Source organism: Homo sapiens, chromosome 6 (assembly GCF_000001405.40).
Source record: "Homo sapiens chromosome 6, GRCh38.p14 Primary Assembly".
Taxonomy (NCBI): domain Eukaryota; kingdom Metazoa; phylum Chordata; class Mammalia; order Primates; family Hominidae; genus Homo; species Homo sapiens.
The window spans coordinates 88,247,658-88,265,786 of record NC_000006.12 but is presented as its reverse complement, the minus strand read 5'-3'; the positions used below and the strand labels follow the sequence as shown (position 1 = coordinate 88,265,786).

Genomic DNA, 18,129 nt, shown 5'->3' with positions numbered 1-18,129 from the left:
GTGTCTTGGTCAAATTGGCCAAAAACTGAAGAAAAATCATGGGTGCTTACAAAAGACAAAATAGTAATCAAAGTTACTATTTAAAAACAAAATTCAAATATTCCTTTTAAAGAAGAGAAAATCAAAGTGCTAACTACTTCAGTAGCAGAAATATTAATCCCAATCTTCCTGGTACTATAATACGCAATGCTTCCCTCTTTTAGTTTACATAAAGGCCATTTATTAACAGAAAACAATAATCTGAGGAGTCCTGTTCACTGATGGTGACCATGGTGACCCCCCTTGCTGCAAGTGCTGTCAGAGGGGTTGGGGGTGACATCCTCAATTTGCCCGATCTTCATACCCAAGCAGGCAGGGACTCTGAGGGCTGTCTGGGCCCCAGGTCCAGGAGTTTTGGTCCTATTTCCTCCTGCGCCCTGGAGTTTGATTTGTAGGGCAGTGATGCCCAGCTCGTTGCACCTCTGGGCCACATCCTGGGCAGCCAACATGGTGACTCATGGCAAGGATTCGTCTTGGTCAGCCTTTGCCTTCATCCCACCAGTCATGCTGCAGATGATTTTCTTGCCAATGAGATTGGTGACATGGACAAAGGTGTCAGTGAAGGATGAAAAGATGTGAAAGGATGTAAAGAGTGCATTACACGTATCTTTTAAAGAAGCGAAATTATATGCTACAAAGCTCAATACTAATAGACTGTCACATTTCTATTTTCCAAAATGGCATGTTTGCTATTTATTCTTTTATTAAAGAATGGATAAAAATTACACTAAAAACTAGATAATATTACTTTGTGGTATTATTTGTCTACAAACAATTCTTAAGGAGATAAAGTTAGCTGATTTAGAAAATGTGCAATGCCACAAAGCTTACTACTTGCATCTGTAAGGTTATATTTGCCTAAACTTTATTCCTAGTAAATATCAATTATGCTGGTTCTGTAAAGTCTAGAAAGCAAATGCAACAACTAGAAGGGTCAATAATAAATTTTATCACCTTTTAGAGCTTTTAGGCTAAACTGTGAAGGGCTAAAAAGATTTAGTATACAAACCAACCAGACTTAAATAGGGGTATAGTTGTAAGTGGAATCCATCTCCAAAGAGGTAAGCAGATAGTCACAGGAAATAGTCCAGAGCAGAAGAAAATAGTAGATAAAATGTTCAATATTCAAAATGTTGCAATATTCAAGGGAGGAAATAATAACTACAGAAAAATATCTTGAGGAGGAAGAAAGGAACTTTAGAAATACCACAGGAAAAGAATAGTAAATGTGGCAATTGCCCAGACACAGAATGGAAGAAAGGGAGATTTAAAGGGATTATAAAAGACTTTTCAAAAAGGTTAGAGAAAGGCCAGGTGCGGTGGCTCATGCCTGTAATCCCAGCACTTTGGGAGGCCAAGGTGGGCGGATCACGAGGTCAAGAGATAGAGACCATCCTGGCCAACATGGTGAAACACCGTCTCTACTAAAAATACAAAAATTAGCTGGGCGTGGTGGTACGTGCCTGTAGTCACAGCTACTCGGGAGGCTGAGGCAGGAGAATCGCTTGAACCCAGGAGGTGGAGGTTGCAGTGAGCTGAGATTGCACCACTGCATTCCAGCCTGGCAACAGAGCAAGACTCTGTTTCAGAAAAAAAAATGTTAAAGAAAAGAAGATAGCAAACCTTCAGAATGATGAATGTGACTCAGGATTCTGTAATAATATCTTTGAGACAGGCCTCAGCTCTTTCCAGGAACCTCTGAACAATTCAAGAGCTGAGTCTACACATGGTCCTTTCACCTCCTCACCTTCGATTTTCTTGCTTCTCCTTTAGCTTCCATCATCTCCTGAAACGGCTCTGCAGAGGCCACCTGGGTCTCCTTCCCAGTGGCATTTTCTCACTCACTTGCCTGTCAGCTGGCTGCCTAGCAACTCCTGGGCATGCTTGTCTCCCTCTGGCTTCCACCCCTCTCAGCTCTGCTGCTTCTCCTCCTGCCTCTCAGATTGCTCCTTCCCTGGCCCTCCTCCCTCCTTCTGCCCTGCAGCATCAGTGTCACTACCTCTCTTCCCTCTGTGCTCTTTCCCACGGCCATCTTATGCAATTTCAGGATTGCAGACACCTCAGTAAAGATAGGCCTCACCACATCATTGCCTCACTCTGCCTCCTTCCCTGAGCTCCGCTTTCACATTTAGAGTCCACTGCCAGACTTTCACCTGGATGTCCCACTAGTACCTCAAACTTAAAGGGTCTGAAAAATAATTATCTCTTCATCATAAAAGCTGCTTCTCATCCTGTTTCCTAACCTAACACTTCTCCCTATCACGGTCACTGAAGCTCAAAAAGATTGATTATCTTAGATTGCTCCCTCTTTTTTAGGCCCTAGAGTCCATTGTCAAGCTAATTCTGCTTTTGCAATATCTCTTTCCTTCATTGGCTATCATTGTCACCACTTTGTCAGGGCTTCTGTAACAATAACTTCCTTATTGTTTTTTCTGACTCCAATATCTCTTGTAGTATGAACTGATAGTATGATATGAATAAATACTTACTGAATTAATAAGTAATTTCAACATTCATTCCATCAAAAGCTATTTATCAAATGTCTGCTATGTGCTAGACAACAGTCAATGAAGATGAAGGGAGGATAATAAAAAGTTCTCACATTTAAAAAAAGGAATATCAAGTATTTATTTAAAGAGGAATTCTGAATTTCTAATCTTGTAGTCTCATAGATAAAAAGATTGAGAAATATGGTTTTATTTGTAGAAATATAAATACAATGAAAAAGAGCTTGTTGATGGTAATATTAAATAATGTTAAATAATGGAATAGGATATTATAATTGCTTATAGATTCTCCTTTCTTGAACATTTCTTAAAAAGCAATTGATTACTCATGAAATAAACACTAGATTCAGGACTAAAACAAAACCATGCTAATAAGACTCAGTGTCCCTACTGATCCATTTACTCTAGTCTGTTTTGTTTCAATTGGTTTCCACACTGGGATCTATGTCTGTGGGCGACCTCTTAGTACATTTGCTGAAGGCAAATGTTTCTATTTTCTTTGTCTATTGGTAACTGTAGAAGGATGTGGATATTGCTCAAAGGGAAGTAAATGGCTTTAAGACTCTGTTTAAAAACCCAAAGTTCTTTGTTTAAATGCTGTTTTGAATAGTTCATTATCAAAAACACACTTCTGCTTTCAGAAAACGCCCAAGGTCTGCATCAAAGGCACGCTGCTGATTGCAAAGGGAAGGATGTGGTGCAAGAGTGAGCCAAGTTTTGATTATAAGGAATGGGGAAGGCTTCCAGTTAGTTAATGAAGCAACCTGCTAACAGTCTCCCGGTTGGAAAAAGTCATCAAGGACTTTCCTTTAGTGAGACAGCACGATTTGATTTCTCTCGCTCTGTCATGATCAGAAGGTTTTTACAATACAGTGGGATGTTGCGGAAAGAGCCTCATGGCATTTGCCATCAGGCCTGGGATGACTTCCAGTTCTATTCGCTTAATCCTATTTTAACCCAAGTAAGCCAAACTCATTGAGCCTCAGTTTCCTCACTTACGACATGGGAAAAAACAACAGTCACTCAGTTCTCGCTGTTATTGTGAAGACTTCAAATATGTCAAAGGGCTTCATGAACTAAAATACTGTAAATTATCAATGCAAATATTAACTCATATTAATTAGAAGGAAAGTGCTGAGAACCAAAAGTTAGCATTTTTGGTTAAACTTATGTCTAAAAACAAGTTTGACAGACAAAATGTGTAAGGAATAGTAAGAGAGTTTGTAATCATATTTAAGTGTTTATTTAATTCCACCGTGAATGGGAATTATTTTTAAAAATAAATTCTGATCTACACCTGTGCTGGGCTCTGAAATCCACTCATAAACTAGCTTTTGAAATGTACAGCATGTTTTCCCATAGAAACAATGCTATAAATTGTGGTTAAGTTGCCCCAGCACACCCTGTAAAGACTGCTTTACCCAAAAGTAACTGAAATGCCAAGTTTTTGCAGGTTAGTCTGTGACCCTAACCACTCCATGCAGTGTCTCTACGCAGAGGTTTGGGGACCATTTGTGCTTCTGCTGTTGTTCCTTGGAACATCGGAAGAAGGAATTGTGGAGACTCAGACAGTGGCTGTGTTGTCTCCATGTCCCCAGGGCATGCTCAAAAGGAGCTATCCATGTTTGGGAATATCTGCACACCTGCCTACCCTTCATCTAGCATACATCATCAGCACTAAGAGTCCACATCTCCTGTCTATTCAACCTAGATTTCCTGCTTGGCTTATGGTGAATCCTTGAAAAAGGTAAGCCTTGTGGTGGAATCACATTCATTCCTGCTGCTCCTATAGCAACTATCTTTTTCCATAAGGAGATATGACCATTTAAGGAATGTTTCACTCTGCCATAGATCCAAGAAACTTCAGATCACGTGGGGAAGGGCAAGAGGAAGTAATTAAAGGGCTTGGATGGATATCTCCTTCCTCTCAGAAACTTTTTTCCCGGCACAGACCAAACAGACACATGAGTTAGTATTTTCAGTGGGAAGTTTGTAAATTAGAAGTCCCCATGTGATGTTCCTTCACTGCAAATTCTTGTGTTATTTTAATAGAGGGAATATTTTTGCTTTTTATAAGAACAATCAAGGAAAAGCACACTTGTTAATCTCAGCTAATTCTGGCTCAATTATAAGGCACCATTTTGATGGCTGTAGTAGTATAAAATGAAAAGAAAAATATCTTAAAAGATACAGTTCCATGATGAGGCAAACGAGCTTGTCTTACAAGTCTAATATACATAAGTCTCATGATTTCAAGTCAACAGATGTAGAAGAGAAGAGGCTGTGAAAAATCTTATGATTGGAAATAGCTGGGCTAATATTTTCAGCATGAATGATATGACAGTGATAGCTAAATGACAGAAACTTCCAATATCCCATTTCTTGAGTGGTTACAGGGTTGCCTTCTATGGTTGTGCAGTTAGTGCACTGAACAAAGTGGACTCATCTAAGTGCTAGTGATGCCCAAATCCTGTCAAGCACCCTAGTGCAGGGCTGAGCTGGGAGAATGAGACCTCTTGATATTTACACTGAGGTGCTGTATGTGCTAGCTACTACCCTGCTTAGCTAAAGCCAAACACTGTATTTATCCACCTGCCTGCCAGGAGAAAAACAGTTGCAGCCAGGGGATGTACTAAGGGAACTAGTAAAACCATTAATCTCTGTTTATTCTAAACTCAAGTTGACACTTTAAATTTTTATTAGGGAGGGAGGAGAGAAGTTAATATTTTTGAGTACCTGGGATGTGGCCGGCACTGTGCTACTACATCAAAGGCTGCTGAATTGTTTTAACCAAAGTGGGCAAAGGCAGTGGAAAGAAATACAATCAGCTGATAATTACATTTTAAGTGCTTAAATTAGCATATTACTTTCATAGCATTAGAATAGACTTTACCTTATTTATCACGATAGCTCTGTGAAAGAATTGATATTATCTACATTTGACAGATGAGGTATAGAGAGGTAAGTGACTAATAAACATTTACTAGTGGAATTACTAATAGATTTGACCCAAGAATCCAGCTCCTGAATCCTGAGCTCTTTCCAACATGCCATTAAAAGACACATTTAAGTAAACTGGAATCTACAGACTGAATTCTAGAGTGGGAAGTAATGTGTAAGGTTTGGGGTTGGTGGGAGAGAGGCTGCAACTGGAAAAACATTAGTCTTAAAAAATTTCTTAAGTTAACATAAACAAAGGTGAACTATAGCTTGGACTTAAAAACAATATGAGTAAAATGGTCAGAAATGTTCTTAAATCTTAGGGAGAGAAAAAAGCTCTCTCAAAACTTTTTCTGTATCAAGTGCCTCAAAAAAAAGTCTTCTGAAGGCAAGGTGGAAAAAGCCAGAAAATGACCCAGATTCAGTCTCAAGGGGAAAAGAAGCGTCAGCCATTAAAAGCGATATGTGCATTTAACAATTTAGACTGTATTTCCATATACAATAACAATATTGTTATTACATAACGATTTTTTTAATTATACTTTAAGTTCTAGGGTACATGTGCACAACATGCAGATTTGTTACATATGTATACATGTGCCATGTTGGTGTGCTGTGCCCATTAACTCATCATTTACATTAGGTATTTCTCCTAATGCTATCCCTCCCCCCTTCCGCCTCCCCCCACCCCATGACAGACCCCGGTGTGTGATGTTCCTCACCCTGTGTCCAAGTGTTCTCATTGTTCAATTCCCATCTACAAGTGAGAACATGCAGTGTCTGGTTTTCTGTCCTTGTGATAGTTTGCTCAGAGTGATGGTTTCCAGCTTCATCCATGTCCCTAAAAAGGACATGAACTCATCCTTTTCTATGGCTGCATAGTATCCCGTGGTGTATATGTGCCACATTTTCTTAATCCAGTCTATCATTGATGGACATTTCGGTTGATTCCAAGTCTTTGCTATTATGAATAGTGCCACAATAAACATACGTGTGCATGTGTCTTTATAGCAGCATGATTTATAATCCTTTGGGTATATACCCAGTAATGGGATCTCTGGGTCAAATGGTGTTTCTAGTTCTAGATCCTTGAGGAATTGCCACACTGTCTTCCACAATGGTTGAACTAGCTTACAGACCCACCAACAGTGTAAAAGTGTGCCTATTTCTCCACATCCTCTCCAGCACCTGTTGTTTCCTGACTTTTTAATGATGGCCATTCTAACTGGTGTGAGATGGTATCTCATTGTAGTTTTGATTTGCATTTCTCTGATGGCCAGTGATGATGAGCATGTTTCCATGTGTCTGATGGCTGCATAAATGTCTTCTCTTGAGAAGTGTTTGTTCATATCCTTTGCAAACTTTTTGATGGAGTTGTTTGATTTTTTTTTTTTTTTTGTAAATTTGTTTAAGTTCTTTGTAGATTCTGGATATTAGCCCTTTGTCAGATGGGTAGATTGCAAAAATTTTCTCCCATTCTGTAGGTTGCCTGTTCACTCTGATGGTAGTTTCTTTTGCTGTGCAGAAGCTCTTTCGTTTAACTAGATCCCATTTGTCTATTTTGGCTTTTGTTGCCATTGCTTTTGGTGTTTTAGACATGAAGTCCTTGCCCATGCCTACGTCCTGAATGGTATTGCCTAGATTTTCTTCTAGGGTTTTTATGGTTTTAGGTCTAACATTTAAGTCTTTAATCCATCTTGAATTAATTTTTGTATAAGGTGTAAGGAAGGGATCCAGTTTCAGCTTTCCACATGTGGCTAGCCAGTTTTCCCAGCACCATTTATTAAATAGGGAATCGTTTCCTCATTTCTTGTTTTTGTCAGGTTTGTCAAAGACCAGATGGTTGTAGATGTGTGGTGTTATTTCTGAGGGCTCTGTTCTGTTCTATTGGTCTATATCTCTGTTTTGGTACCAGTACCATGCTGTTTTGTTTACTGTAGCCTTGTAGTATAGTTCAAAGTCAGGTGACGTGACGCCTCCAGCTTTGTTCTTTTTGCTTAGGATTGTCTTGGCAATGTGGGCTCTTTTTTGGTTCCATATGAACTTTAAAATAGTTTTATCCAATTCTGTGAAGAAAGTCATTTGTAGCTTGATGGGGATGGCATTGAATCTATAAATTACCTTGGGCAGCATGGCCATTTTCACGATATTGATTCTTCCTACCCATGAGCATGGAATGTTCTTCCATTTGTTTGTGTCCTCTTTTATTTCCTTGAGCAGTGGTTTGTAGTTCTCCTTGAAGAGGTCCTTCACATCCCTTGTAAGTTGGATTCCTAGGTACTTTATTCTATTTGAAGCAATTGTGAATGGGAGTTCACTCATGATTTGGCTCTCTGTTTGTCTGTTATTGGTGTATAGGAATGCTTGTGATTTTTGCACATTGATTTTGTATCCTGAGATTTTGTTGAAGTTGCTTATCAGCTTAAGGAGATTCTGGACTGAGATGATGGGGTTTTCTAAATATACAATCATGTCATCTGCAAACAGGGACAATTTGACTTCCTCTTTTCCTAATTTAATACCATTTATTTCTTTCTCCTGCCTAATTGCCCTGGCCAGAACTTCCAACACTATGTTGAATAGGAGTGGTGAGAGAGGGCATCCCTGTCTTTGCCAGTTTTCAAAGGGAATGCTTCCAGTTTTTGCTCATTCAGTATGATATTGGCTATGGGTTTGTCATTAATAGCTCTTATCATTTTGAGATACGTGCCATCAATACCTAGTTTATTGAGAGTTTTTAGCATGGAGGGCTGTTGAATTTTGTTGAAGGCCTTTTCTGCATCTATTGAGATAATCATGTGGTTTTTATCTTTGGTTCTGTTTATATGTTGGATTATGTTTATTGATTTGTATATGTTGAACCAGCCTTGCATCCCAGGGATAAAGCCCACTTGATCATGGTGGATACGCTTTTCGATGTGCTGCTGGATTCAGTTTGCCAGTATTTTATTGGGGATTTTTGCATCCATGTTCATCAGGGATACTGGTCTAAAATTCTCTTTTTTTGTGTGTCTCTGCCAGGCTTTGGTATCAGGATGATGCTGGCCTCATAAAATGAATTAGGGAGGATTCCCTCTTTTTTTATTGATTGGAATAGTTTCAGAAGGAATGTTACCAGATCCTCTTTGTACCTCTGGTAGAATTCGGCTGTGAATCCGTCTGGTCCTGGCCTTTTATTGGTTGGTAGGCTATTCATTACTGCCTCAATCTCAGAGCCCGTTATTGGTCTATTCAGGGATTCAACTTCTTCCTGGTTTAGTCTTGGGAGGGTGTATGTGTCCAGGAATTTATCCATTTCTCCTAGATTTTCTAATTTATTTGCTTAGAGGAGTTTATAGTATTCTATGATGGTAGTTTGTATTTCTATGGGATCAGTGGTGATATCCCTTTTATCATTTTTATTGCATCTATTTGATTCTTCTCTCTTTTCTTCTTGATTAGTCTTGATAGCAGTCTATCAATTTTGTTGATCTTTTTACCAGCTCCTGGATTCATTGATTTTTTTGAAGTGTTTTTTGTGTCTCTATCTCCTTCAGTTCTGCTCTGATCTTAGTTATTTCTTGCCTTCTGCTAGCTTTTGAATGTGTTTGCTCTTGCTTCTCTAGTTCTCTTAATGTGATGTTAGGCTGTCAATTTTCGATCTTTCCTGCTTTCTCTTTTGGGCATTTAGTGCTGTGAATTTCCCTCTACACACTGCTTTAAATGTGTGCCAGAGATTCTGGTATGTTGTGTCTTTGTTCTCATTGGTTTCAAAGAACATCTTTATTTCTGCCTTCATTTCGTTATGTACCCAGTAGTCATTCAGGAGCAGGTTGTTCAGTTTCCATGTAGTTGTGTGGTTTTGAGTGAGTTTCCTAATCTTGAGTTCTAATTTGATTGCACTGTGGTCTGAGAGACAGTTTGTTATAATTTCTGTTCTTTTACATTTGCTGAAGAATGCTTTACTTCCAACCATGTGGTCAATTTTGGAATAAGTGCAGTGTGGCCCTGAGAAGAATGTATATTCTGTTGATTTGGGGTGGAGAGTTCTGTAGATGTCTATTAGGTCCACTTGGTGCAGAGCTGAGCTCAAGTCCTGGATATCCTTGTTAACTTTCTGTCTCGTTGATCTGTCTAATGTTGACAGTGAAGTGTTGAAGTCTCCCATTATTATTGTGTGGGAGTCTAAGTCTCTTTGTAGGTCCCTAAGGACTTGCTTTATGAATCTGGGTTCTCCTGTATTGGGTACATATATATTTAGGACAGTTAGCTCTTTTTGTTGATCCCTTTACCATTATGTAATGGCCTTCTTTGTCTCTTTTGATCTTTGTTGGTTTAAAGTCTGTTTTATCATAGACTAGGATTGCAACCCCTGCCTTTTTTTTGTTTTCCATTTGCTTGGTAATCTTCCTCCATCCCTTTATTTTGAGCCTGTGTGTTTCTGCACATGAGATGGGTCTCCTGAATACAGCCCACAGATGGGTCTTGACTCTTTATCCAATTTGCCAGTCTGTGTCTTTTAATTGGGGCATTTAGCCCATTTACATTTAAGGTTAATATTGTTGTGTGTGAAGTTGATCCTGTCATTATGATGTTAGGTGGTTATTTTGCTCATTAGTTGATACAGTTTCTTCCTAGCATCAACGGTCTTTACAATTTGGCATGTTTTTGCAGTGGCTGGTATCAGTTGTTCCTTTCCATGTTTAGTGCTTCCTTCAGGAGCTCTTGTAAGGCAGGCCTGGTGATGACAAAATCTCTCAGCATTTACTTATCTGTAAAGGATTTTATTTCTCTTTCACTTATGAAGGTTAGTTTGGCTGGATATGAAATTCTAGGTTGAAAATTCTTTTCTTTAAGAATGTTGAATATTGGCCCCCACTCCCTTCTAGCTTGTAGAGTTTCTGCTGAGAGATCCACTTTTAGTCTGATGGGCTTCCCTTTGAGGGTAACCAGACCTTTCTCTCTGGCTGCCCTTAACATTTTTTCCTTCATTTCAACCTTGGTGAATCTGACAATTATGTGTCTTGGAGTTGCTCTTCTTGAGGAGTATCTTTGTGGTGTTCTCTGTATTTCCTGAATTTGAATGTTGGCCTGCCTTGCTAGGTTGGGGAAGTTCTGGATAATATCCTGAAGACTGTTTTCCAACTTGGTTCCATTCTCCCTGTCACTTTCAGGTACACCAATCAGACGTAGATTTGGTCTTTTCACATAGTCCCATATTTCTTGGAGGCTTTGTTCATTTCTTTTTACTCTTTTTTCTCTAAACTTCTCTTCTCGCTGCATTTCATTCATTTGATCTTCAATCACTGATACCCTTTCTTCCAGTTGATCAAATCGGCTACTGAAGCTTGTGCATGCGTCATGTAGTTCTCGTGCCATGGTTTTCAGTTCCATCAGGTCATCTAATGTCTTCTCTGCACTGTTTATTCTAGTTAGCCATTCATCTAATCTTTTTTCAAGGTTTTTAGCTTCTTTGCTATGGGTTCGAACATTCTCCTTTAGCTCGGAGAAGTTTGTTTTACCGATCTTCTGAAGCCTACTTCTGTCAACTCGTCAATGTCATTCTCTGTCCAGTTTTGTTCCATTGCTGGTGAGGAGCTGCAATCCTTTGGAGGAGAAGAGGCACTCTGATTTCTAGAATTTTCAGCTTTTCTGCTCTGGTTTCTCCCCATCTTCATGGTTTTATCTACCTTTGGTCTTTGATGGTGGTGACCTACAGATGGGGTTTTGGTGTGGATGTCCTTTTTGTTGATGTTGATGCTATTCCTTTCTGTTTGTTAGTTTTCCTTCTAACAGTCAGGACCCTCAGCTGCAGGTCTGTTGGAGTTTGCTGGAGGTCCATTCCAGACCCTGTTTGCCTAGGTATCACCAGTGGAGGTTGCTGAACAGCAAATATTGCAGAACAGCAAATGTTGCTGTCTGATCCTTCCTCTGGAAGCTTTGTCTCAGAGGGGCACCCGGCTGTATGAGATGTCAGTCAGCCCCTACTGGGAGGTGTCTCCCAGTTAGGCTACTCGGGGGTCAGTGACACACTTGAGGAGGCAGTCTGTCCATTCTCAGATCTCAAACTCCATGCTGGGAGAACCACTACTCTCTTCAAAGCTGTCAGACAGGGATGTTTAAGTCTGCAGAAGTTTCTGCTGCCTTTTGTTCAACTACGCAGTGCCCCCAGAGGTGGAGTCTACAGAGTCAGGCAGGCCTCGTTGAGCTGTGATGGGCTCCACCCAGTTCGAGCTTCCTGGCTGCTTTGTTTACCTAGTCAAGCCTCAGCAATGGCAGACGCCCCTCTCCCAGCCTTGCTGCTGCCTTGCAGTTAGATCTTGGACTGCTGTGCTAGTGGTGAGCAAGGCTCCGTGGACGTGGGACCCACTGAGCCAGGTGTGGGATATAATCTCCTGGTATGCCTTTTGCTAAGACTTGGAAAACTCAGTATTAGTGTGGGAGTGTCCCGATTTTCCGGGTACAATCTGTCACAGCTTCCCTTTGCTAGGAAAGGGAATTTCCCAACCCCTTGCGCTTCCCAGGTGAAGCAATGCCCTGCCCTGCTTTAGCTCACCCTCTGTGGGCTGCACCCATTGTCTAACAAGTCCCAGTGACATGAACCTGGTACCTCAGTTGGAAATGCAGAACTCACCCGTCTTCTGCGTCACTCACGCTGGGAGCTGTAGACTGGAGCTGTTCCTATTCGGCCATTTTGGAACCCTTCAGTTCTCCATAACAATATTAACTTGACCTAGCTGATTGTAACATATTTGTTTTCATGGACCAAAATACTTAAGATGGCTTCATGATTATGAATAATAAAATACACGCCTAAACCATCCTAAAATTATGGAATACACCTCAGTAATACACACAACTTTAGAAAATAGAAGCAATTTAGCATTTCAATATGGTAAGTAAATTCAGCTCACCAAATACAGGCTTAGTTAAAAACACAACAGTAGGCCAGGCGTGGTGGCTCACGCCTGTAGTCCCAGCACTTTGGGAGGCCGAGACGGGGGGATCACGAGGTCAGGAGATCGAGACCATCCTGGTTAGCACGCTGAAACCCCCTCTCTACTAAAAATACAACATTAGCCAGGTGTGGTGGTGGGTGCCTATGATCCCAGCTACTTGGGAGGCTGAGGCAGGAGAATGGCGTGAACCTGGGAGGCGGAGCTTGCAGTGAGCCAAAATCGCACCACTGCACTCCAGCCTTGGAAACAGAGTAAGACTCTGTCTCAATAAATAAATAAATAAATAAATAAAAATAAATAAAAACACAACAGTAGATTAACTGTGAGTTGAATGTTTCAACCTGATTTCTCAGAAACCTTGTTCAATTTCAACATGGCGTTTCATCATAATACTGACCGCACTTTTTCACTAAGCCTGTATTTAAATGATCACTTGATTAGTGCACTGTGAGGGCGAGGAATGATTCTGCATGCTTACCATCGTACCTCCATCACACTAACTGGCACAGTAGACACTCAATGTTTGTTGAATAAAAACAGCAAATAAACAAGCAGATGGATCACTTCAACTAAATAAGTTAAAATACAGGTATAAAACTTCCACAAAGGCAGTATATCAATGTTGTATTAGACACATTATTTAAGTAACTGAAATAAAATGAAGGAAAATGGAAGTTGAAATATTATTGAGATAAAAGTAGAACCTCTGCCAAACCAATGGCCATTCCCCTGGCAAAGATTCAATGAGTTGACTGTCAATCCAATTTTATTATTGTAGGAACAATGGACTATTTGAGAACTGTATTCTATTAAATAACTTTGCTTTGTTAAAATCCAAAGGCTTTTAATTGGGCTGATGTTAGTCAGACCCAGCATCTTTCTATCCATCCTTCCATCTGTCTATCTTTTCATCCTTTCATCTCAGCAATGGCAGACACTTCTATTCTTCTATTCACCCATCAACCCATCCATTCTTTCATTCATCCACTTTAACACCCAACCACCTTCAATTCATCATCCTCCTGTCCATCCGGTCACCCAGCCATTCATCCTTCCTGCCCTTCTTCCATCCATTCACCCAATAATTCCTTTGTTCTTTCTCCCCAGCAAAAGTTAATTGCCTGTTGATAATTAAAAGATGTGAATAAATAACACTGGAAATCAAGCATGCACGTAATTATGTAATTTCAGGCAAGTTAGAGAATGTTCAACTACATCATTTACTATGGTCCCGGTACTCATCTAGTTTATCATGTTGTAGTTCCTATCTAAAGATAATCAGCTATAATTACCAAGACTAATTCAATAATATTGCATCTACCCATTGCATTACTTATATACATTATAGAAACTGCCATTTTAGTTTCTGACAGTACATTAAATCCACCCCATCTGTCCTGATGAAAGTGTTTTATTATTAATCTTAGAGAAGTTCTTCCCACTGCTGCAACATTTAAGAAACACGTTTGTTTTCATTATTCAGTTTTGCGGACAGAAATAATTTTTCCCTTTTCTATAGTGCTTTACAGTTTACAACTCTCTTTTTATAGATCCATCATCCTTGATTCTCAATTAAAAGCCAAATTCAATGTTTTGCATATGTTTTGCTGCAGTTCTCATTTCATCTCAGGTAAGCCAGTCTACCCCCTCTCCCCTCCTGGGACATGCCCCGTTGCTGTGTTCATTAACTTTCCCCTGGTGTTTGTTTGGATATTCAGATGATGATGAAGTGGATGTTGTTCTCATTATTCCTGCCTCAGGATGTGGTGGACCACCATCTGCAGCTGCCGTGTAAGTGATCATCTTGGCGCTGACCCACATGCCACCTTTGTAGTCATGAGTATTCTATCCGAGAGATGCCATCTGGTTTTCATGGAAGCTGGTGGAAAAGTGGGGGTCTGTGTTTCACTGCAGAGATGCGTGTTCAGAGAAAAAAACTGAACATTTTCTGCTCCCATTAGGGACAGAGCATCAGCTGTTGTGTTCTTTGCATCAAATTTTCTCATAGCTTATACTTTCCCGGTTAGAGTTCTGTTTCATCAGGCGTGTTAAGAAGCTCTCCACACTCTATGGAGTGGGGCTGGGACGTGAGGTTGGCTAGGAGAAAGGGAGATGAGAACTGCTCCAACCACAGAACCTGAAGATCTAACACGATTTAGCCCAATACACTGATCACTAATTGTTAGTTTTTCAGATGCAGACAACTCCTTGAGGTTATACTCTTTATTTGTTAAAGTTTTATTCAGAAATAATTTCAAATGATGGAAAAATTTTAAGAACTGCACAGAGAACTCCTTCACCCAGGTTCATTAATGGCTAACATTTTGGCACTTTGCCATATATATATATATATATATATATATATATATATATATATATGGAGAGAGAGAGAGAGCCATATATACATATATATGGCTATATATATACATACATATATAATTTATATATATACATATACTATATACATATACAATATACATATATACATATACAATTTTTAAAAATTGTGCCCCATTTGCCTCTAAATATATCAGTGTATATTTCCTAAGACAAGGTATTCTTTTACATAACCACAGTGCAATGATCACATTCAGAAGATTTAACATTGATGTAATTCTATTATTTAATACACAGCCCATGATTTTAAGACTTAAAATCAATGTTAAAATTACAAAAATTTGCCACCATGTTTTTGCTCTTAATCAGGCTGATAAAAAAAATATTTAATAGCTCCTCTTGTTACATGGCCTCCACTTCTATGAAACTTGGCAACTTTTGAATGCCTAGTACACTTGCACCAGCTTATAGCACAGAATAAGAACAGAACAAATAGAGGAACACAATATTACTTGACTCCTTACTGAGCCCTGTTTGTAGAAAGAAGTTCTTTCTTTATCCTACAAAGTGTTTCTTAGATTTGGACATATGTCCATTTCTTATTCTTCTCCTTCCCTTTTTGGCTCCACTCATCTAGAGCAAGGTTGGAGCCAGAGGAAGAATCCTAGATGGTTTTATTTTTTTCTGCCATACTCTGGATTTTCTGCCCAGCTCCTACTCAAGCAAGGAAGTCTTGTCTTCAAAATTGTTTCTTTTTACTCAGAAATTCACTCAGTCCTTTGATGATCAAAATCTCACATGACAGGATTTAAGGAGAACAACTGAACAACATTTTTTAAGACTCTTTACGGTAGCATCATTGATTTTCCGAAAGCCTTCAAAAAGAAATGCATAAAAATAAGAATTATTTATAAAGGTATCTTTTTCATAATCAGTAACTATTCATCTCTTCTATTAGATTTATCAATCACAAAGAGGGAAACAAATCTGAATGTAGCTTGCAATCAAGAATACTGCAGAAAGCTGCTTTTGGGAATACATACATTCTTACCTAATTCCTACTTCCCTATGAATTTTCTTCACTTAGTGCATTTGGTTTTAAATTTATGGCCTGTTTTTACCATTAATTTATTTCCTTGTTTACTAATTTATCTAGATAAAGGTCTTGAAACTGCAAAACATAATGATGATTCATTCCAAATATAATTTCTTATGTTTACTTTGCAATGATAAAAGCTAATTTCATATTTCAAAAAGAATGTTTTCTTACAAAATACCTTTTTTTAAAAAAAAAAAAAAAGGTGAAACATTGAGATAAAAGACCCCAATTGGCAGAATAATTAGTTGGTCAACTGCTTTTTTATCACATAAATTACTTTTCTGTCAAGTGACAACAAATGTAATTTGAACTGAGATTAATTACATAGTAATGATGCTTAACATAATTGGTTAAATAGAGGAATTTCTTATGAAATGGTAGATTCTTAAATTTATACAAATAAGACCAGATGGTGAACAGCTAGTTTTAATTAAATTAGGTTTGATAATTATAGATGATTAATTTTAGATTTGACTCAGATTAGAAAGAATACATTAAGGAAATTATTTTTAGTTTATCAATAGAATGATAATGTATTGTGATGATTATAAACACTGATACCTGGGATCAAATTAATAATTTCTTAATTTCACTTTGATAAATAAAACCTTGGAAAATGTTACTAAGAAAAGTGATAGGATCGCTTTCCTTGGAGGCCTTTATGATGCAATCAGAATCCTGTGTTTATAAGAGGTTAGGTGTTTTTCTTTATAGAAACAGGAGTGGAGGGGCAGTGTGGTAGGGGTTTAGGGATGAACTAAATGATTTCCCGAAGATATTTCTAATTCCTGAATGTGATGACTAAGCTATTATTGTAGAATTAGGCATGGTATATGTATCAGACCAAAAAAAAATGGCTTCTGAAAAGGATATAACAATCACACAAAAGTAGATATTGTAAAGAAAGGGTTTTTCTTAATTTTCTTTCCATTCGGAAGATATTTTCACCTGGCTTATCGTATGAACTCTGGCACTAGAAGTCTGTGAATTGCTTCTAACCACAGGAACTATGTGTCACTCATCTGTGAAAAAGTCTGAATCTGAAAGTGCAAAAAAAAGATAAGGTTGGCTCACTGAGGGACCTACCCCACACTAGGTAAAATTCATTTTCCTTCTACATGGATGGCTTTTGTTTATATTTGCTTGTTGGCTCATTCATTTACTCATTCATCAAATATTTATCACATACAAAGCTCTGTGTTGGTGATATGATTTTATTAGGCATTTGCTTTCAAAATAAAAGACTGTGAATACAAGAGTTAGATTTCTATACTTTTATTGTCTCCATATGCTTTCAGCAACATGTCTTCAGCTGCTTTTACTATTTTCTCAAACAGGAATGCAAATCCTAGGTCCAGCTCAAAATTGACCTCATAATGAAATTGTCTGAATATTTAAATGGCCCACCTAGAAGAAGAGTGGCTGAGGCAAGATCTCCAAATGAAAGCATACACACAAAATCCCATGCATATGGTTTTGTGTGTGAGGAGACAGGGTAAGGCCATATGGCTGTTTCAGGGTAGCTTCCCAGGGAGGCCCCACCATGGAGCGTGGGGAATTAGACCCTGGTCCACTGACTTTTGCAGGCCTGACCTTGGCTGCAGCAAAAATTTACTTTAAAAACTATACTAGTGGTTTTAACTTACCTGAGACTAGATGCCTAAAGCCAGCTAGAATAACCTTTTCATTTTGGGATAGGTCCGCTAAATCTGCCAGATTATAGACTAGAAGAATGCTTCCCTAAATATGAGATTAGAACAAAGAGAGTTGGATTTCTTTTTTCTTTTTTTCTTTTTAGAGATAGGATCTCATTATGTTGTCCAGGCTGGAATGTAGTGGCTATTCACAGGCATGATCATGGCACACTACAACCTCCAACTCTTGAGCTTAAGCAATCTTCCTGCCTCAGCCTCCTGAGTAGCTGGGATTACAGGCACATGCCACCATGCCTGGCTAGGAGAGTTGAATTTCTTGACATTTCTTTTTATATATTTGTGTTACACAAGTATTGCAGAAAATTTGTAAGATATCAAGAGACAGAAAGGAGAAAAATGACTTTCAATCTCATCATCCAGTAACAACTACTGTTAACATTTTGGAGAACAACCTTCTAAATACATCCTATGAATATTTATTTTTGTTGTACAAAGAAACAGGTGGTCATGTATACACAATTTTGTAACCCAATTTTTTCATTGGATAACATATTGTGATCATTTTTCTGTGTTAGTATATATATATATTTCAGAACAATGACCTTTATGGAAGG

At 38.7% G+C, this 18,129-nt stretch overlaps 1 pseudogene; it reads right to left on the bottom strand.

Moving 5' to 3' along the window:
- RPS14P9 (ribosomal protein S14 pseudogene 9) lies at positions 202–617 on the bottom strand (annotated as a pseudogene).